Source organism: Homo sapiens, chromosome 5 (genome assembly GCF_000001405.40).
Source record: "Homo sapiens chromosome 5, GRCh38.p14 Primary Assembly".
Taxonomy (NCBI): Eukaryota; Metazoa; Chordata; class Mammalia; order Primates; family Hominidae; genus Homo; species Homo sapiens.
In genome coordinates this window covers 161,407,526-161,430,538 of record NC_000005.10, presented here as the reverse complement: position 1 = coordinate 161,430,538, position 23,013 = coordinate 161,407,526, and the positions used below count along the sequence as shown (strand labels likewise).

At 36.4% G+C, this 23,013-nt stretch overlaps 1 protein-coding gene across 3 annotated transcripts in view; it reads left to right on the top strand.

The window, feature by feature from the left end:
• Window positions 1-23,013, top strand: part of GABRB2 (gamma-aminobutyric acid type A receptor subunit beta2) — a 259,969-nt gene that overhangs the window by 117,866 nt on the left and 119,090 nt on the right. For all 3 annotated transcript variants that reach the window (NM_000813.3, NM_021911.3, NM_001371727.1), the window contains one exon: window positions 19,482-19,564. In NM_000813.3, coding sequence (NP_000804.1) covers window positions 19,482-19,564 — 83 coding nt within the window. The remainder of the gene's footprint in view (window positions 1-19,481; window positions 19,565-23,013) is intronic.

The following is a 23,013-nucleotide window of genomic DNA, read 5'->3' as shown; positions in this document are numbered from 1 at the left end:
AAACTGACCTCTTTGGGTTACAAGACTAGAAAATGGTCAACTCTGGTGTTTGTCCCCAAGTCTAAGTGACTGGGTAGCTACCCAAGGCATGTTCTTTCCTCTCTACTGAAGTGATACCAGAGAAAAGTGGGCTAACACTCACAACATTTTTTTCTGTCCTGTGTTCATCTGCTACATTATTTAAGGCTGTGATGAAAAAATAATCTAAAATTCAAAGAAATGTACTGTATTAGTAAAAGAAAAGTTGCTCTGAAACCTCATAGATATCCTGGCTGTGGCCATGTACTCATACAGTTCCATACTGACTGGAATAAATCCTTAACCTTCAGTGAGTTTTAGTTTGGTGTTGGGTAGAGTTGCCATTGCTAACCTCTAGCTAACTCTCTGTTTCAATTAGGGTGAATCACTTAGTTTCTCGGAGGCTTTTATACCACATTACAAATTCCAGATTTTATCAAGGGCTGCTTAACATTAGCCCTCAGGACAGACCAATTCATATAACTATTTTATTTGACTAACACAATACTTTTAAAATTAGGACATTTCGTTTTAAAATTTAGACTTCCTAATTATCTTTTTAAAAATCTAAAGAGCATGAACACTGGGCCTTCTTTCCCACAGGTAACAATAAGCTAAAGCTGGGAAATTGATACCTTATCTAGATGGAGGGTTTTCTGTAGTTCACCACATTCCCCACCATTCCCTTTTGTCTTATGTTGAACCTACTCCTCATACTACAGAGGTCATAAGCCTGCCCTCTATGCGTCTGAGTTTGTGGCTCCTTGATTAGACTTAAATCCCTTATAATTTTAGCATTCTGTGTGTATTATGTCATAATTATGCTCTGAAGTTTTCAATGGATAAAATACAAACTAGTAAGCCTGGAATTTAAAGTCAACTATTGTTTACTTTCATCCATCCTTCACCAGGTTTAAATCTCAACACATTTGCTTACCAGTCAAGTTGACCTATTCATCTTACCAATATGTCCTGGTTCTGGTCATGTGCTCACACTACTCCATGCTGACTGGTTATCCCTCCAGGCTAAACACTGTATCTAGCAAAATCTGGTATATCTTTCATCACCTAACTTGTAGCTCATTAGCTCATTTTCTCTGCAATGGCTGCCTCAGCTTCCAATCATTTTCCTTATTTCAGGATTTCTTTTTTTTTCTTTTTCTTTTTTTTTTTTTGAGACGGATTCTTGCTCTATCGCCCAGGCTGGAGTGCAGTGGTGCGATCTCAGCTCACTGCAACTTCTGCCCCCTTGTTCAAGCGATTCTCCTGCTTCAGCCTCCTAAGTAGATGGGATTACAGGTGTGCATCACCATGCCCAGCTAATTTTTGTATTTTTAGTAGAGATGGGGTTTCACCATGTTGGCCAGACTGGTTTCGAACTCTTGACCTCAGGTGATCTGCCTGCCTCAGCCTCCCAAAGTGCTGGGATTACAGGAGTGAGCCACCATGCCTGGCCAATTTCAGGTCTTATAACATACATTATTGGTACTTACCGTGTGATGCCTAATAATAATAAACATAAATAAAAATAAATATAATTATTTTACATTTATAGATAAAATTTGTGGAAATGCTTTTTCCATGCCAAACAGTTTCTATGCATTGTTTTAGTCTTTATATCCATGTTCAGAGGTAGATGCCCTAATTGTTTTTGTGCTTTCATTATTATTGAGTCTCAAGTAGGTTAAATAATGTATCCAAGGTTGCAGAGGCGATAGCTTCCTAGATTAGTTTATCCTGTATCTGAGCTTTGATTTTAAGGTCCTTAAGGTCAAAGACCACATCATAACAATTTTATACAATGCCTTCTACAGGGTTTAGCAAGCACCATGCTGAATGAAGGCTATCTATGAATAGATTAATATTCATTTATTGTCATTCAGGTGTATTAGAACTCAGTAGTTTAATGACTTTTTGAAATTTATTGACGACACTATAATAAACTTGCACATTTTAGGTTTTAAGTTTATACATTATCCTATTCAAAATCCTTATACTTGCCTTAACTCCCTGATGGTGGAGAATAAAACAGTGGTTACCCAGGGTGTGGGGGATGAAATGAGGAGATATAGGTCAAAGGATACAAAGTAGCAAATATGCAGGATGAACCAGTCTGGAAAGCTAATGTTCTGCATGAAGACTATAGAAATAAAATTGTGTTAGTAATTTTTGTCAAGTGGATTTCAGCTGCTCTTGTCACACACACACACACACACACACACACACACACACGTAACTCTCTGAGATGATAGATATGTTAATTTGCTTCACTGTAGTAACCATTTTACTGTCTATATGTATCCTGTCTAATTCTGTTGTAAACCTCAAAGTTGCAACTACAAAAAACAAAACAAAACAAAGGATTTAGGAGCCACTAGCCTAATGCATTGTGTTTCTCTCAAGAGATGGCATACATTTGGTAATTATTAGACGATCTTTTTTTCCTCTCAGGAAAACAGAGTCTAATATGCTTTTGAATGGGGCAGGGGGAGAGGGGATGAAGTGGGAAAAGCAAGGAGACTATTGAGAAAGTAAATGTAAAATCAGTTGTGTCACAGCAGTACAATGCATCTTAATCACTTAAAAATAATTGCTCTAGAAATAATGACTCATTAGCAATGTTGTAGTGTTACACCACCTCAAATGCCTTAACTACTGTGAACACTGGGCATGAAAATTGTAACCAACTTATAATGTTGCATCCCAGTGCTCTGAGAATACTCCTAAACCATTTTGTTAATAATTACCTGACAGAAATATATCTTTACCTAGCCCTTGTTGTCATTAAACATGCTTTGAAATACTTTAATATTTCTAGGCTGTATTAGCACTCTTTAGTTATGTAATTACATTTAGCAGTCCCTACAGTTTTTGTCTGTTGTTTTAAGCTAAAATTCATTACAACCCAAATTAACAAAGTTGTGCTGAGGCTGCAAAGGATTTAGGCATTTGCTTCAGTTCCTAGGAATTAAAGATAGAGGCTGCTTTGGTGAACTTGAACGTACAGAACCCCACTGAGACCATTATGAGTCATTGGTAGGCCCTGCCTCCATCACCTTGACAGGTGAACCTATTCTTTACCCATCATCTCCAGAAAGGAAAATCTACCATCTACTCAGTAGAGTTATTTCATTATTTTACAGCCCTCACTATCCGCCAAGTAATCTTTCTATTTAACCCAAATCCTCCAAGTCATTTATGTTATAATTTATGGTCAAAGCTTCCTGTTTGGTCCATTGCAGAAAATGTGAACAGCTGATCATCACTCCCTAAAGCCCTCTATATAAATGGAGACTGTTATTACATCTGTTAGTCTTCTTCTTCTCCAGTTAGACAGAGTTCATTCAGCTATTAGTCAAACAACTAATTTTCAGATTTTAATATCCAGTATCATTTCACTGAAATATGAAGCCCTTTGCCATAGGTTTTGCTCTTTATTTTTTAAGAGAAAGAGAAACAGAAGACATAGATAGGAAAAAGTCAGAGACCAGGATGGGGAATTATTGGGAAATAGTCACAACACAGCTGTTCTTTATCTTGGTTGACCATTCTCTCATTCTTTCAACCCTATTCCCATCTTCCAGCTTGTATGAAATGAAATTGTTCATATGACAATGGTGTCATACACATCTTCTTTTCTAATAGCTCCTGTTATCAATTTTCTTTTTTTTCATCCAGAGATCAAGTGTGATCGCTTTAATCCTTGCCTTTTTGCCAATGTGCTATAATATTGTTAGTGCTTCTTATTGTAAATTGTGTGTAATTTCCAACATGAGTATTTATACCCTTTTCTTCTGAGTCTTTTTTGTTTATTTGAAATCCTTCTTTAAAATGAGACCCAGTTTCTTTTTATTATGATTCATTTCATTCTGCTTTAATTCTTTATTTAGTCAACTGAGCTTCTTACTAAATATGCCATCATTTGGGTACAAGGGGATGTTTTTCTTCATTTCATCTTGTGTTTTTAAACAACCCTGCATTACAGATGTGTGTTTTGAGAGGGAATTTTCAGTCAAGTACATTTTTTTTCCTGATTTGTCTTCTAGATGATTTTTGTTTTAATCTGTCTTCAATTATAAAAGGTTCTCTCAGTTCCAGTTTTGGTTGCCCTGATTTGCATGTACCACCCTCCCCCAGTCGACCCTTTAGAACTCCTCTAAGTAATTAAAAGCTTCTGAAGGAATGAAATGATTTCCACAAGTTAGAAGAAAATTATACTTATTGCTTTTTGGGGAGAGTCTTAGGGTTCTGCTTCCACTCAGTTCTGAATAAATTTTTGTCCAAAGTTCAAAAGGACCTTTTGCATATTAGCAGCTCCTCTACATAGCAAGAGGTAAAATCAAGACCCAAGTCCAGCACTGCTTGATTTCTATAATCCCATTCTTGCCCTCGGTGCCTGTGTGCATGACAAACTTACGTTCCTTTACCTAACACTGTGCTCCCACTCCTCACTGTTATGAGTCATGTAGTGATGCAGATCCTTGTGTACGCTTCTTTATCTTTTCTAATTGCTTCCATTGGATGAAATACTGTAAGTAATACTACTGGGTCAACATGTGAGAGATCCTTGATATCCAAGTTACCCTTTATGAAGATTGAGCCAATTTATATTCTACAAGCAATTATGAGAAATTCGGTTTATTCACATCCTCATCACATATTATATTTGAAAAAACAAAAGACAATTTGCTAGGAGAAAGATGGTACCCCATTATTTCTATGAAAAATGTAAGCTATGTCCTCATGCACACCATATGTCAATATTAACTTCTGATAGATTTAATAATTAACTATAAATATTGAGACCATAAGACAGATAGAAATATGAGGCATACCTCAGAGATATTGCAGGTTTTTTTCCTAGACCACTGCAATAAAGCAAATATCACAATAAAGTGAATCACAACTTTTTGTTTCCCAATGCACAAAAAGTTATGCTTACACTATACTGTAGTGTATTCTGTGCAGTAACATTATATTTAATAAAAATAATGTACATTCCTTATTTAAAATACTTCATTGCTAAAAATGTACTAATGATCATCTGAGACTTCAGTGAGTCATAATCTTTTTGGAGGTGGGGAGCCTTGCCTTGATGTTTATGTTCACCAACCTGCTGAATGATCAGGATGGTGATTGCTGATTTGGGGTGTCTGGAACAATTTATTAAAATAAGACAACAATGAAGTTTGTCATATTTATTGAGTCTTCATTTCACAAAAGATTTCTCTGTGGCATGCTTTGCTGCTTGATAGCATTTTACCCATAGAACTTCTTTCAAAATTGGAGTCAATCCTTCAAACCATGCTGCTGTTTTATCAAATAAGTTCATGTAATATTGTAAGTTCTTCATTGTTATTTCAATGATATTCATAGCATTTTCACCTGGAATAGGTTTTATCTCAAGAAGTCACTTTCTTCGTCCATCCATAAGAAAAAAATTCTCAATCCTTAAAGTTTCATCATGAGGTTGCATAAATTCAGTCACATCTTCAAGATCCACTTCTAATACTAGCTCTCTTACTATTTCTACTATATCTGTAGTGACTTCCTCAACTGTAGTCATAAACTCCTTAAAGTCATCAGTGAGAGTAGAATCAACTTATTCTAAACTCTTATTAATGTTGGTATTTTGAACTCCTCCCATGAATCATTATTGGTCTTAATGGCATCAAGAATGGTGAATTCTTTCCAGGTTTTCAATTTACTTTGCCTGGATCCATCAAAGGAATCACTATACATGACAGCAATAACCTTATGAAATGTATTTCTTAAATAATGAGACTTGGAAGTCAAAATTACTCCTTGATCCATAGACAGCAGAATGGATGTCATGGTAGCAGGCCTAAAAATATTAATTTCCTTGTATATCTCCATAAGAGCTCTTGGGTGACCAGGTGCATTGTCAATGAAGGGTAACATTTTGAAAGGAACCTATGTTTTCTGAGTAGTAGGTCTCAACAGTAGGCTTAAAATAGTTAGTAAATCATGCTGTAAACAGATGTGCTATTATCCTGGCTTTGTCTTTCCATTTACAGAGCACAGGCAAAGCAGATTTAGCATAACTTTTAAGGGCCTTATGATTTTGGGAATGGTAAGTGAGCCCTACATTCAACTTAAAGTCACCACCTGCATTAACAAGAGTCACCTGCCCTTAACAAGAAGGTCAGCCTGTCCTTTCAAGCTTTGAATCGAGGAATTGACTTCTCCTCTCTAGCTATGAAAGTCCTAGATAGCATCTTCTTCCAGTGGAAGGCTGTTTTGTCTACACTTAAACTCCGTTGTGTGGAGTAGCCACCTTCATTGATTACCTTAGCTACATCTTCTGGATAATTTTCTACAGCTTTTCTCCATCAGCATTTGAACTTCACCTTGCACTTTTATGTTATGGAGATGCCTTCTTTCCTTAAACTTCATGAACCAACCTCTGCTAGCTTCCAACTTGCCTTCTGCAGCTTCCTCACCTCTCATAGCCTTCATGGAATTAAAGAGATTTAGAGCTTTTCTCTGGATTAGGCTTCAGCTTAAGGGAATTTAAGCTGATTCCCTTAATGTGGATGATTTGATCTTCCATCCAGAGCACTAAAACTTTCTCCACATCAGCGATAATGTTGTTATGCTTTCTTATCATTCATGTGTTCACTGGCATAGAACTTTAAATTTCCTTCAGGAACTTTTGTTTTGCGTTCATAACATGGCTTTGTGGCACAAGAGGCCTAGTTTTCAGCCTTTCTTACTAAGAGTAATCATTTCTAGCTTTTACTTTAAAGTACACATGGAAATCTTTCTTTCACTAGAACACCTAGAGGCCATTGTAGAATTATTAATTGACCTAATTTCAATATTGTTGTGTCTCAGGGAATAGGAAGGCCTGAGGAGAGAGAGAGAGATAGGTATGGCTGGTCATAAAACAAACATTCTATTAAGTTCACTGTCTTATATGGACATGCTTCGTGGCTCCCCAAAACAATTACAATAGTAATGTCAAAAAGCACTGATCACAGATGACTGTGACAGACATAATAAAAATTGAAAAGTTTGAAATATTGTAAGAATTACCAAAATTTGACACAGAGACAGGAAGTGAGCACATGATTTGGAAGAAAATGGGAACAAATAGACTTGCTTGACACATGGTTACCACAAAATTTCAATTTGTAAAGAACACAATGTCTGCAAGGTGCAATAAAGCAAAGCACAATAAAAGGAGGTATGCCTATCTCGAAATCTTTCTTCTCTCAAGATGAAGAGGGATTTTTCCCAACACAAAACAGTTTAAGAAATAACAATGTAAATGATTGATAACTTTTATCACAACAAAATATCAAAAACTAGAATGCATCACTAAGCAAAAGAGAAACACCCCTCAGACACACACACACAAAAACAACCTGCAAATACATGAATAAATAATTTACAATTAAAAAACTGAATTGAAACTGTTAAATATAGAAAAAACTTCCTGGTAATCATAGCTTTTCAAAGATGGAATAGTTCCCTTTCAGAGAGAATGAGTTCCAAAGCACTAAAGAGATTCATTAGAACAATAATTATAGAGATCTTATGGATGGAATTCAATCATTAGAAAGATATTTGTATAGACATCATTTTATCATCTTTTCTACTTTGAAAACCTGTAATTAAATGATGATATTTCCACCAACATTTAAATGGCACATGCAGTTTATGGAAGCGCCTACATTTGATATAGTTATGCTGATCATTTACAACCCATGGAATGTTAGTATCCCATGCATATTCCATATCTCATGTAGAGAACATAAGCTAATGCAAATAGAGTAAGTTATTGACAAGGAATGCCCTTAGTGCAAACTTAGGGAAAATTCTCTTAATAACATTTTTTAGAGGGAAAAATGCATATTCACCATAGAAACAGTGAAACTGTAGAAAATATAAGAAAACAAAAATCAACTATATTTGCACTGCCTATTTTAGTATAATTTTAGTCATTTGTACACTTAATAAACCTTTTTAAATAAATGTGAAATCATACTATACAACTTGATTTCCTGTATGCTATTTTAACTTTCACTTATTAATAAAACTTTCCTATGTCCTCACTCTTCTTAAAGTGTTTTTTATTATATCATGTGACTGGATCAAAATTCATTTAAACATCCTTACATATTAGCTATATATACATTTACATCTATATAGTATGTATATGGAATGAATCAAAATTCATTTAAATCTACTTATATATTAGCTATATATACATATATACCTATATAGTACTTACCTAGAATATTTCTGAGATTTTTTGCCCAACTATAAATAAAGTTGTGTTTAACATCCTGGCATACAGTTTTGTATAAATTCACATTAATTTATTAGAGTAGAATTTTTAGGAACACATGTTTGCACATTTGGTGGATTTTGATAAATATTGTCTAATTACCCTCCAGAAAGTTTGTGCCAATTTACAGTCCTCCTGCCAGTATGTGCAAGAGGATCTATTTCCCTCCAGAATTTGTAGTACCAGATATTATAATTCCTTTAATTTTTGCTGATTAGATAAGCAATAATTGTCATGGCTTAAGTTTTATTTCTAATACATATTTGTGGTTTCTAATGCTGCTAAGAATTTTTCCACATATTTACTGCCTATTTTATATAAAAGAAATATTTATTTTATTTTATGTTATAGAAAATTTCAGCTCATCATAGCTCACCTAAGAAGCCTTCTCCACCACCCAGTTAAAACAGGCTTTCCTCCCTGACCATTGGTCACTGACTCGTTTTGTTTTCTTCATGATATTTGTCACCATCTGAAAATATCCTGTGGATGTATTTGTTTAATTGCTATTTTCTGGGCCCCATAGTGGATTGAGGGGTCTGTCTGATGTTGGGTTCTCCTGAAGCCGACACCAAAGGACCCTCTAACAAGCTCTCACACATATTTTCCATGCAGTTGCAACCATGTACTGCAGTGAAAATATGTGTGGGGGCATGTTAGAGATTGAGTCATTGAGTCAGCCACAGAATATGTTGCCCACTGAACTTTCAGCAAGTGCCTTACCATGAGAGAGAGAAAAAAAGTAATTGCACATATTTTTTCCTCCATCTACTGATGCTGCGTGTCCCAGGAAGGTGTGTAAACATGTGGCGGTGGGAAAGAGAGGATATAAAAGTCATTTCAGTTATCTGGGGGTCGCTCTAATGGCAACACTCCTGCCAGATCTCCCCTGCTGGGTTGCTGAGGCTCCATGGAGCTTGCATCATGTAGCACAGTTTGCCGTCTTTGTTCAACCCCACAGCTTCCTTTCTTTCACAGGTGGTGGTCCTTAATAAATGTCCTTCAGGGTCTGCTTCTGGAAAACCCAACACTAGACAGAGCTGAATGCACTAAAGTGCCTAGAAAATAGCAATTAAGCAAATACACACACAGGACAGTTTCAGATGGTGACAAATATCATGAAGAAAATAAAACTGGGGATGAGGCAGTGGCCAATGGTGAGGGAAGGAGGGCTGCTTTAGTTGGGTGGTGGGAGAAGGCTCCTTAGGTGGGTTATGATGAGCTGACATCAAAATGATAGAAAGGAGGAAGTTCATTTAAGGTGGTAGGAACTTTCATTCCCTTAACCCCAAAATCCCAACACAAAGGACCCAGGAATGGAAGAGTTCTAATTTTTTGATGGACAGCCTAGCTAGAAGAACCTCAGATTTTAAGTACACTTCTGCAATGTATTCTATCAGTCAGAGACCTGACAGGCAGCAGATGGCACACTGAAAATGGGGTAATTTGAGGAGAGTGCAATGAAAAGACTATTTACAAAAAGAAGAGCAGCACTCCCTCCCTCCCAGAGATAGAATCCCCAGGTTGCCACCCGCTCTGCAGCCTTCCATTTCTGAAGGAGAAAAGGAGGGGACAGACAAGGGAACCTGGCCACAGGTCTTACAGAAGCAAGACAGGGCAACCTGGCCACACGTTTTGCAGAGGGAGACAATTTCCCTGGTCTCCCGCTCCTCCAAGCCCAGACTCCTGCTCTACTCCCCATTGGCCACATCTGCCCTGAAGCCCAGGGAGCCTGTTTCGGAAGTCCAAACTGTCTACTCTTTAGGGATACACAACTTGGTGGTTAAAGGTAGATTGTGGAACTGAAAAGGAAGGGAAGACACCCAACATGTGTAGCTCACATTTTAAAATAATATTTGCAAGGGTGAAAAATAATATTTGGAATAAGTGAAAAGAGACCCAGCTGAGGCTGTCACTTGGTCTGTCACTGGCTAGTTGTACATCAACATCTTCAAGCCACATTTTTTTTTTGCATTTGTTAAAAAAATTAAAAGACTGGGATAAAACTGATAAACTTGTTCTGAAATGGTATGACTCTGATGTGTCACAAATCAAAATAAAATATTAGAGAGATATTTTAATGAATGCAATAAAAAGTATCTGGCATATTGAGGCATTTGTTTTACATTGAGAAAAAAATTAATCACTTTTGAAACAGAGAGTGGCTTTCTAGTCTGTAAGAGACTCTGGTTCAACTATATTTCTTATCATGATCATTTTAAATTTTTATTTATTTTTATTTTTATAGATTCAGAGGTTACATGATCAGGTTTCTTATGTGGATATATTGCATAATGGTGAGGCTTGGGCTTCTAGGGTACCCATTACCCAAATAGTGAACGCTGAACTTTGTAGGTAATTTGTCAACCCTCACTGCCCTCCTACCTCCCTGCCTTTTGCAGTCCCCAGTGTGTGTTGCTTTCCTTTGTAGGTACATGTGTACACATTTTTTAGCTCCCACTTACAAGTGAGGAACATGCCGTATTTACCTTTCTGTTTCTGAATTATTTCACTCAGGATAATGGCCTTCAGCCCCATCTGTGTTGCTGCAAAGACAAGATTTCATTCTTTTTCATTAATGCATAGCATTCTACAGTGTATATATACCACATTTTCCTTATCCAGTCATTTGTTGATGGACACGTAGGTTGATTCCATGACTTTGCTATTGTGAATAGTGCTGAGATAAACATATAAGAGCAGTTATCCTTTTGGCGTAGCGGTTTATTTTCCTTTGGTTAGATACCCAGTAGTTGGATTGCTTGGTTGGTTGGTAGCTCTATTTTTAGTTCTTTGAGAAATCTCCATACTGTTTTTCATAAAGGTTATACTAATTTTCATTCCCACCAACAGTGTATAAGTGTTCCCTTTTCACCATGTCCTTGCCAACATCTGCTATTTTTTACTTTTTCATAATAGCCATTCCGACTGGGATGAGATGGTATCTTATTATGGTTTTAACATGCATTTCTCTGATGATTAGTGATGTTGAACATTTTTTCATATGTTTGTGGACCACTTGTATGGCTTATTTTGAGAAATATCTTTTTTGTTAGTTTGTTTATTTGTTTGTTTTTGACACAGGGTCTCGCTCTGTCACCCAGGCTGGAGTGCAGTGTCTCAACCAAGGCTCACTGCAGCCTTGATCTCCAAGGCTCAGGTGATCCTCCCATCTCAGCCTTCCGAGTAGCTGGGACCACAGGCATATGCCACCATGCCCAGCTAATTTCTGTATTTTCTGTAGAGACAGGATTTTGCCATGCTTCCCCCGCTGGTCTCGAACTCATGGGCTCAAGCAATCTGCCCTCCTCGGCATCCCAAAGTGCTGGGATTATAGGTGTGAGCCATAGCACTTGGCCAGAAATCTCTGTTAATATCTTTTGCCCACTTTTTAATGATGTTATTTTTTTTCTTGTTCCATTGTTTGAGTTCCTTGTAGATTCTGGATATTAGTCGTTGTCAGATGCCTAGTTTGCAAACATTTTCTCCCATTCTATAGGTTGTCTGTTGTTGATTATTTCTTTTGCTGTGCAGAAGCCCTTTGGTTTAATTAAATCCCATTTGTCTATTTTTGTTTATGTTGCATTTGCTTTTGAAGTCTTAGTCTATAAATTATTTGCCTAGATCAAGGGTCAAGAAGAGTTTTTCTTACGTTTACTTCTGGGATTTTTATAGCTTTGGGTCTTATATTTAACTACTTAATCCATTTTGAGTTAATTTTTGTATATGGTGGGAGATAGGAGTCCAGATTTCAGTGGTTACAATTTAAAAAAGAGAATGATTACCCTTTTTCAGGGATGCAGACTTCCTCTAAGACATAACTTAGAAGACAGTATATTCTCACCTCTGAGATAAACAAAGTACCTATAGATGAGACCGCCAGGAATGTAATATGAGAAAGGTTGGTCATCAAAGAACTAACAACAGAAGAAGAATAATGACTGAGGCTGATGTATCTATATCTATTAATATTTTCAATTGAGTAGTATTTATATGCTCACAAAAATGAGATTTTTGTTGCATAGTGCTGCTTTGATTCCACAGGATGCTATTTAAGGGAATGTCTTCATAATAGTGCCTGAATTTGTGGCAGAAACCTGTGTAGCCCTTTAATGGTCACAGTTTCTTTGCAGAGGATAAGATTCCAGAAAATGAAAGAGTCACAGAAGGCCAAACAGCTGCAGAAGAGTACAAATAGCTCTAATCTGAAATGCATGATTTATCAAATGGGAACATGATTGCTAGCAATCTTACTTTTTTTGGTGATTACAAAGTTGAGCGTAGTAGTGCATATGACTATGAGGACTTTTAAAGAGCTTTTAAAAACATTTATGCATGAGTCTTGGAGATTTTAATCTGAGCAGAAGGCCTCTGTGGAGGTAAATCAAGAGGATAGAATGGCGAGGAATGCTGAGGGAGACCTTCAATCAGGGAAAAATATTAAGTGGGACTCCTTGGGGAGAGGCCTGTATTTGCTTGTCTGGGGTGGGCTAATCTACATAATTGACTAAAACAGAATGAACAGCTGTGAAATACAGCATTTGAATGTGTGGGTAAAACAAAATTACAAAATATACAAGGTCACAGAACATGTAATGTATTTTCATGGGATTATAGAATTTCTAAGCTCATTTGGTATATAAGAAATTGATCAATCCTCCAGAGAAGCTAAATGACTTTACCAAGTTCAACTAGGAAGTTAGCTACCACATTCTAGTTAAAAATGTGGTCTCTGGAGTCAAACATCCAAAATTCATATTCCAGCTCTACCACTCACCGTGTGACTCTTGGGGAAAATCACTCTACTTTTCTGTGCCTCAATTTTCTCATGTATAAAATGGGAATAACAATATGACTTAACTCACATTAAATGAGATTATATATGTCAGTGACACTAGTGTCGTGAACATAGTAAGTGATCAATTAATATGTTAGTTATTAGTGAGAGTGCCAAAGTGAAAGTCACCTAACTCCTACAAGCAATGTTTTACCTGTTCTACAAAACATAAGAGCATATTATAAGGGAAATATAAGTAAGATATTATTTCCATTTTCTAACTAAAATGGTTGTGAGACACAGAATAACATCAAGTCTTCTTGGAGAATTTGAAAGTAAGAATTTTTTGAAGTGACGTTGGAGGAAAAGACTCAGGTGAGCTCTGTAGAATTTTCAGAAGTTTAGTTCATACTCTAATGCTTAAATTCAGCAATTAGATCTTTCCCCCCACTAGCTGAAGTTTTTATATTAGTTTGCTTTGTAGTTTGCAAAAATATATATCAATATATTTTTTATAATTGGCCTTTTTAACATGTTAATTTTTCTTTAGTAACTGATGCCCACTAATGCTGGAGAATGTCTTTATTCTTTGTAATTAGAATAAATTGTGCTTTTATGTAAATGCACATTTTGAGCAAAGTAAAAGCATGCTGTGTATTACAACAATATGTTTTGAATATAGTTAGGGTTAAGGCATCTAATTTTTTTTTTTTTTTTTTTTTTTTTTTTTGAGACGGAGTCTGGCTCTGCCGCCCAGGCTGGAGTGCAGCGGCGCGATCTCGGCTCACCGCAAGCTCCGCCTCCCGGGTTCACGCCATTCTCCTGCCTCAGCCAAGGCATCTAATTTTTTTAAACATTCAAAGATGTTTAATTTTTTTTTTTCTCGTGGAATAATTGGATGGTTGCTTATATAAAGAAATCAAACAAGGTAGAAGTTCAAAGTCACTTTCTTATAATTTCTGGTTAAAATCCTAACAAGATTCTCACATGTTTAGTCACATGTTTGAACATATATTCTAGTCCTGAAGCCCCTCTTAAGGAGTCTACTGAAAGGCCCAAGTTATGTCACCTTGATTATGATTCTGAGGTTTTCGTATTGGCTGGCAAAGTCATTTGTTATTGATTAATGGCTATCTTTGGTCATTATCAAACTTGGATCCAGATGTCATATCCAAACTTGGAATGCTGGCTGGGCATGGTGGCTCATCTCTGCAATCTCAACACTTAGGGAGGCCGAGATGAGAGGATTCCTTGAGCACAGGAATTCAAGACCTGCCTGGACAATATAGTGAGACCTTGTCTCTACAAAAAATTTAAAAAGTTAGCCAAGTATGGTGGTACACACCTGTAGTTCCAGCTACTTACAAGGCTCAGGTAGGAGGATTGCTTGAACCTGGGGAGTGGAGGTTGCAGTGAGCTGAGATCATTCCACTGCCCTCCAGCATGGATGACAGAGTGAGACCCAGTCTCAAAACAAAACAAAACAAAACAAAACAAAACAAAAACAAACTTGGGGCCGGGTGCGGTGGATCACGCCTGTAATCCTAGCACTTTGGGAGGCTGGGGCAAGTGGATCACCTGAGGTCAGGAGTTTGAGACCAGGTTGGCCAACATAGCGAAACCCCATCTCTACTAAAAATACAAAAATTAGCTGGGTGTGGTGGCAGTTGCCTATAATCCCAGCTACTAGGGAGGCTGAGGCAGGAGAATCCCTTGAACCCAGTGGGTGGAGGTTGCAGTGAGCTGAGATAGCATCACTTTATTCCAGCCTGGGCAAAAGAGCAAAACTCCATCTCAAAACAAAAAACAAAAGCAAACAAACAAAAAACCCAAACTTGGAATACTATGTTAGCATCAATAAATCTCAGGTAATGACACTATAAAATATTTCGTATGGCTTTGGTACAAAATCCTGGCTTACTTGTTGCATTTCTTGATTTTATAGGTGCCTTGAGTGACTGTTTAGGCTGTGCTATGTATTTGTTTTCTTGCTCTGTGTTAATATTTTACGATACAATTCATTTTTGGATAATATTTCCCAATGGCTAAGTAGTAAAACATTTACCCAAATATCTCTTAGTCCAGTGAGAATATTGATGTTTCCCAAGGGTGGTCTTCATCATACAATAGAATTTACCCTACAGAAGGCACATTTCCACTTTTAACTATAGACGACTTACTACGGATAAATAAGACACATTCTTGAGGCATCATTGACTCTTTCCTTTGATTGAAGACAGAGCTGTTTCACAATGGTCTTAAAAATTAATCAGGATACCTGCATAATGATGTACTAGCCTCACTTCAAAGACACCTAGTAGTGGCGTTGAGTTATTTAAGGTCCATTAAGCATGTTTGTCATGACTCAGAAAGACATGTTCATGAAAAGCTCATTAACTGTGTTTATTGTATTGACTTCTTCCTGTAGAAACAGCTCTGTTATAAATCAAAAAGTCTCAAACAACAGATTTAGATGTTTATTCCTGAGCTTTTTGGAATAGATTAATTCCAGGACAGCTTCTTCTATATTTTAACTTCCAAATATATTTGAGAGTTTTTACATGAGTTAAATAAGGCACTTACTAAATATAGATAATTGCATCAAAATCCTTAGCTTTGGGATGCTTATGTTTATTGATCCCTCCCTTTGTTTTATTTATTGTTATATTTGTTTTATTATTATAATAATAATTAATATTTTTTATTTGGGGTTGGTAGCATGTGCCAGGTACTTATCAAAGGGCTTGAGATATAAGTATGACAGAACAGATGTGGCTCCTGATCTCATAACACACCTGGAAAGATGCAAGTTTGTTGTATATCTATATTTTGTTGCATAGAATTCCATGTATATGTAGGGAGTAATTATTTATTTTGCATATTTATGTGTTGGGAAGCTATTTACATCCATCTTGATATCTCTGCCTTGTTTATAATGTAAGTGTATGGGTATTCCACATGTCTTTATGTATATAAACATGTACTCATACTGCCAAATAACTTCTAGTAAAATGAGTTATCACAGTATCTACACGTTAGCAGGTAGTAATAACTATAAAAAAAGTTGCATAACAGTTTATGAGTTAAAAACATTCCTACTTTTGTTATATCACAGCAAAGTAAGGTGGCAAGTTTTCATTGAAATTTTCAGGATGAGGCAACTAAGTGTCAGAGAATACAATGACTTGTCTGTTACTCATCATCGACCATATGATCAGGACTCCAAGTGGACTATTTTGGCTCCAAAGTTTCTGTTCTAATCCAATAGAAGACACTTACAAATGCTTTGTAAATATTGACTAGAAGACATTATAAATGTCTTTTAGCTTTATGAAGTGTATTATATCATTAAAACAACAGTAAAATGCTGGACTAAATAGGAATGTGTTTGTGAGGAAAACACTTTCTTCTAATTTATTTTTAAAACATGAGTAGAACTCATTGCTCCTGCAGTAGCATTAGCCAACATATTTTTCTTGGTGTTTCCAGCACCAGTTCACGGATGCTAGTTGCCGTGAACATGTATCAGCAGAAAGTGTGAGCCACAATCTCTAGTAGCAATTGCAAACTTCACTCATTAACACAATCAAGGCTTCTATACTTGGCTCTCTCTCTTTTTTTAATTGTATATATGCCCTTGTCCTTGTAACTTTCATATCTTTTGTGTTCATTCTATCAGATGAGGTTAATTTTCTCTAGTTTCTCAAGACAGGATTATTTCTGCCATTTTACATAAATAGCATTGGTGTTTAATATGCCCATCATGTACCTAATTTTATTTCTGTTGAAAATGCCTGCTCTCTATAGTAAAGATCTCTGTATATTACTGGCAATTCAGAATGTACATGTAAAACCAAACTAAAAAACAAAAAACATCAGTGGACCAGTGAGAAATTTAGCCAAGTGTCACAGAGCCAAAATAAGTTATAATTTTTTGACCTTGAGTGAACAATAAAATGCGAATGTAACTTTTAATAGAATTTATAGAATATAAGAATTTGGTAAATCCCATTGAAAACATAAACAATGAAGTTGATAAGATAAACTCTGGTACTATTTATGTAATCTTAATTAAATTAATTAAAATGTATCTATTGTTAAAATATAAAAAGAACCTCTACAACCTAAGACACATTCTAATTTTAAATTAAAAAAAGAGAAATAATGTAATAAAATAATCTTCCAAATATTAATAGAAAGACTTACAATGAGCAAAACCAACTCCTGGCATCTTTATAAATTTATTTATTTATTCATCCATCATATACTTATTGAGTTCCTTAACAGCAAATAGAACAAAGTCTGTGCCCTTAAACAGCTTAAACTTTATTGGAAGACAGATTCTTATAAAACATAAATAAGGGAGTGCAGTGGCTCATGTCTGTAATCCCAGCACTCTGGGAGGATGTGAGAGGATTGCTTGAGACCAGGAGGTTGAGGCTGCAGTGAGCTGAGATTGTGCCAATGCATTCCAGCCTGGACAACAAAGAAAGAACCTGTCTCTAAAAACAGACAAGCCATAAATAAGCAAAATAATTTCAGATTTTGGTGACTGCTTGAAGGAAATAAACAGAAAGATAAGATGGAGCATTAGTTAAGGCAACCACTTTGGGTGGGCTGCTTGGAAAGGGACTCTCAGAAAAGGTCATTTTTAACTGAGGGATCAGGAGCAAGGGCTCTATAAAGATCAGGGAGACACGTGTTCTAGGCAGAGAGAACAAGTAAGAAGGCCGAAAGATATTGATTGAGGACATGGAGTGAGATGATACTGGGAAGGAAGGAAAGGACTAGAGTACTCCAGATACTGGCTATAGCCAGGACTCTGGCTCATCTTGGAAGAGCCATTGAAAATGTTAGGCAGAGGAGTGAAAAGATCTAATTTATGTTTTTAAAAGATCTGACGGTTGTGTGGATAATGTTTAGTGGGGCAGTGAATAGAGTGGCTGGGAGACCAAGCTCCTGCAGTGATTTGGATGTAAGGCATCGGGGATGTAGACTCAGAGGGGAGGCAGTGGAGATGGTAAGGAATCGGTGCAGCAGAGCCAACAGGACTTGGGGAAAGAAATGAAGGAATTGGGACAAATGTCAGCTCTAGGAGACTTACAGAATTAACAGAGCACAAACCTTAATGTAACAGAAATCAAACAAAAGAGCCAAGAATGACTTACTTCAAGTTAATCACATGTTTCCATTCTGCACCTGAGGAGTGAGACTCCCACACCTGACTCAGGAATTCCATAGGCTCAGTCTACCTGGGTTACGGTTTAGATTTTGTCCAAGACTTTTTAAATAAAAATGTCTAGCTATAGATCGTTTCTCCCAAGCTGGAGCTATATCTTACTTCTGTGTTCCCAACACATAGTATAGTGCCCCTCACACTACAGTAAGCTAAAGTTGATCAGATTCAACGTTAGTTTCTACTTTTAATTTCCCTCAGCAGATGGAAATTTTTAAAGGGTCTACTATGTGCCAAGTACTCTGTTGGAGTTTTTACTAAAAAATGGAACTCATACCTACATTTGGAATGTTTTAAAACTTGTGTTCTTTCATGATCCTATGATGCCTCATTAATCAGAAAACATACCTTGATAACTCATATATATATATATATAAACTCTAAATGTATATATTTTTTGGCTTCTAGAAGGTCAATAGAAAGATTAGTAAAAAATCATGACAAATATAAAGACAAATTGAAGGAACGTATTTATTTATTAGTGGTAACATAATAAAGGTACTAAGTGTTCTAAATATATAACTATGCCATCCCATAGGAGTATATTGTCTAGGGGATCATGAAAACATCAGATTACTCAGGACAGAAATCAGGTATAGATAAAATACCAAAATCAGGTATAGATAAATGGCTGATTGTGTGTTATATTAAAGCACTGCAAAATACTATACTATGTATAGAAAGGTGAAAAATGATGGATCAAAACTAAGATTGATAGATTACATGTTTCTGATCTTGAGGAAAGGAGAAGAAAATAAATGTGAGAGAAATGGGAATATTCTTTGCCCACATTCTCAGTCAGCAGTGATGCTTGTGAAATAGAGTCTTGGCACCACTCCACCTCTCCCCAACACATGCTGGAGGCATGAGAAGTGCCTTTTGAAGAAACCCTCTCAGATTATTTTGATACAAGTAGATAATGGACCATACTTTGGGAAATGCAGATTTAGTCCAGTCTCTATCTTCTGAATCAGTGTGAGATTCATAAAGGAATATGGTTATCCAAAGTTGCATCAGTCATTTTCATTAGTACTTAGGGTAAATCACAGTCTCTTCTTTGATACTTAGATTTAAATTTCCAGCTCCAGCCTTAGACCTGCTAACAACACTCATCATTGCTATTTGTCTTCTAGAATCACAACCACAGCTGCCTGCATGATGGACCTAAGGAGGTACCCACTGGATGAACAAAACTGCACCTTGGAAATTGAGAGCTGTAAGTCGTTCTGAGAATCCAGCTAGACTGGACTCTGCTTTAAGGTTCTTACGCAGAGGCCTCCAGTCCTGGCTCATGTCCAGACCACAGGCCCTGCAAAGGTTCTGCTAGCCCAACTAAATTTGGTTGAGGGAAGCATTGACAGCATCTTTTCTCAGTTATGCTGCCACCCTCTTAGTCTCATCTCTAACTCTCTAACTCTTCGCGAGAGATATTTAGGGAAGAAATAATCTGGCAATAAAAGGAATATGCTAACAGCCTGGAAGGAGACCGAGGGCTATTTCAGGCATTTAAAATATGGAATTGGTGCAAACAGTTACAACAGACTTTGGAAAATAGGTGGAGGTGGCAGAGTGTCACAAGTTGTCCTGTCTTTGCCTCTCATAAACTTTCTATCTTTGTAATTGCAAAATAAATGTGGTCTTTCAGATTAGTTAAAACATTCATAGAGTAAGGTTTTATAGAATGTTTTCTGTTGTTGTTTCAAGGGACTATTTTCAGTCTCTAAAGTATATTTTTTGCTGAAGGCCATCTGATGAGCAAGATTGTGAGTGTGTGTGTGTGTGTGTGTGTGTGTGTGTGTGAGAATTCTGTTTACTGTGCTGACTTGTTTTGCAATGTGCTTGCTTTCCTAGGCCATGATTTTAGCTTCCACATTGATGATTCAGTCAGCTGCCCTATTGGGTGGGCTAAAATGGTGATTTTATAACGCATCTCCATTTTGGAGGTCACATAGGGAGGTGGTTTGAGGTAGAAGAACATTTTGAGTCTCTGTCACTTCTTTGCAATGTTTCCATACTTTATTTCACTAAATCTTTATCCCACTAAATAACTGGAAGTTGACAATTTTATATCCAGAATTCTAAATAATGAGTAACTGGACTGTTGTGAGGGTACTCTTAGCCTTTATGAGGAGTTTTAGCTCTGGCAAGCAGCATGACTAAATCATTGCTGTGAGCAGAAATATGGCATTTGTGACACATTGTGGATATTTTTGCCCAATTTAAAAGATAGCTTCCAGGGTAATTAAATTACATGTATTTTTGAAGAAACTGATTGCATACTTGTATTTCAAATCATCATTATTTTCAAATTATGTTTTTGCCTTATAGAACTAGTTAATGAAATTAGTCCATAGGATTTCAATTATTAACTTTATGTAAATATTTTTAAGATAGCATTGCATGTTGCTTTTTCTAAACTTACGGCTACAATTTAGAAAGCATAATAATGTTTCACAAAGTTCAAATTCTTTTGTAATTTCACATTGTTGATGTAAGAATATGCTGAAATAAGCACGTTGCTATGTACCACTCATGAATTTCTGTGGTGAAAGTATGTTTTGTTCCAGTTTTGGTATATATGCTGCCAGAGAGAACATAAGAGCATTTTTTTGTGGGAAAATTATTCTGGGATATCAAATAATCACAGTTGTAGGTAGGTGAAGGACTTTCATGGATATTATTTCATTTGAGCCTTCCACAACCCTCTCAGATAAGTAAACAAGGCCTCTTTATTTTAAAGAATGGATGCCTAATTATGCAGGCAACACCCAAGTGTTTTTCTGTTATTAAATTATAATTTTGACTCAAATATTTAAAAATTAACATGATAATTCTTTAGGCTTTACGTATCTCACTTCAATTCACAATCACCTTGTTAAATAAGGTCAATATTAATATTTCCGTCTTTACAACTATAGGGAATCAAAATCAAGGAGGTAAGGTGATTTGTTCAAGATCATTCAGTCACTTAGTGGTACAGTGGCTCTGTGCTGATTTGGAAGATAGCTGACTTCTTACTTAGAAAAGACACTGATTTTGGAGGGACCAGATTAACAGACCCTTATTCTAAAACCCCTTAGTCTAAAAAGCAAGAAATAGCCTGGCCTTATGGAAAATTGGGGCTTATTCATATTTAGACTGTTAACAAATCATTGCTACAGAGAATTAGATATGGTGTTATATTAATAATATACATGATATCCAGGCTTTATTGTTGTAAATAGGTTGTCTACTAACTAAACATATTGAAGTGAATTTAGGATCCCATTCCTTAAACTACTGGTTCTCCAATTGATGCTTCTCATTCTGCCTTATTCATCCATTCCTTTACTTTAATCATACCCTAGGCATTCATTCACTCTCATTCTCTTTCTCCCATCTGTCTTCCTCTCTCATCTTTCCCATCTCAGCTCTCCCCTCATCTCTCTCTTTATCCTTCTCTCTGTCCTTCTCCTTCCTCCTTCCCTCTGTTTTTCCCTCCCTTCTTTCTCTGCTTTCCTCTTTTCCTCCCTCCCTCTGGCAAATGAAAATTAACCTAACTGTGTCATTGCTAAATTATTAATACCTTGTCAGCATATCGACAATCAATACATTGGGTCAGTTCAGGAGAGGATAACATAACCTGACTCTTGGCAGCTTGGAGTCAGGGAACATTAGGATTGAGCTAATTGTTCATTCATTCATTCACTCAGGAATGTATTTGTTCATTAAATTGTTATTGAACACTAATCTTTTACCAGGTATCGTAATAAGCTCTAAAGATCTAATAGTGAATAGCAATATACAATATCCCTGGCCTCCTTTATTGAGGTGAGAGAGATAGATATATAGATTGTGTATCGCAAATCTGACATGCTTTAGACCAGAAATGTTTTGAATTTCAGATTGTTTCAGATTTTAGAATATTTGCAATATATTTGTAAGTAGTATATTACCATACTTAGCAGTTGAGCCTCCCTAATCCAAAATCTGAAGTGCTCCAGTGAGCATTGTATTTGAGTGTCACGCCAGCACTCAAATTGATTTGGATTTTGGAGCCTTTCATATTTCAGATTTTTGGATTAAGGATACTCAATGTCTAATTTAAGTCAATACATGCATGAATATAAAATTGCATTGCTAAAATTGCTGCCAAGATGAAGTACTTAGTTCTATAGCATCTTAAAGAAAGGCTGTTTAAAGCAAGCCTTGAAATAAAGTACTGAGGGCTCTAAAAGGTTAATATGGACTACACCGACTTCATAACTTTTCTTAAATATACAGGGATGGGGGGTGTTTCATAGAATTCTTGAGATTTGCAGAATTAAATGGGTCTTGATAATATTTATCACTATGAGGGCCATGAAACTTAACTGCTAAAATTGAAAGGAGATATCCATTCCTAGGCATTTTCCAATTCTAGCTCCTAAAGCCCCCTTTTACTTAAATGTTGCCGTTACCTGTGTGGTCAGAGGCAACTCACCATATTTTGTCTACATAGAATGCATTGTGTTTATATCTCTCTCTGAAACTTTTAGTACAGGTTGGGAAAGGGACACTGGAATACTGCCTATTTTTCTAGGGAAATGTCACCCAAAAAGCACCAAACAACAACAAAGTTATGCCCAAGCCTACATAAACAAAGTTCTTTTGAATGTACTTGCTGTTTAGGAATGAGTTCTAGTA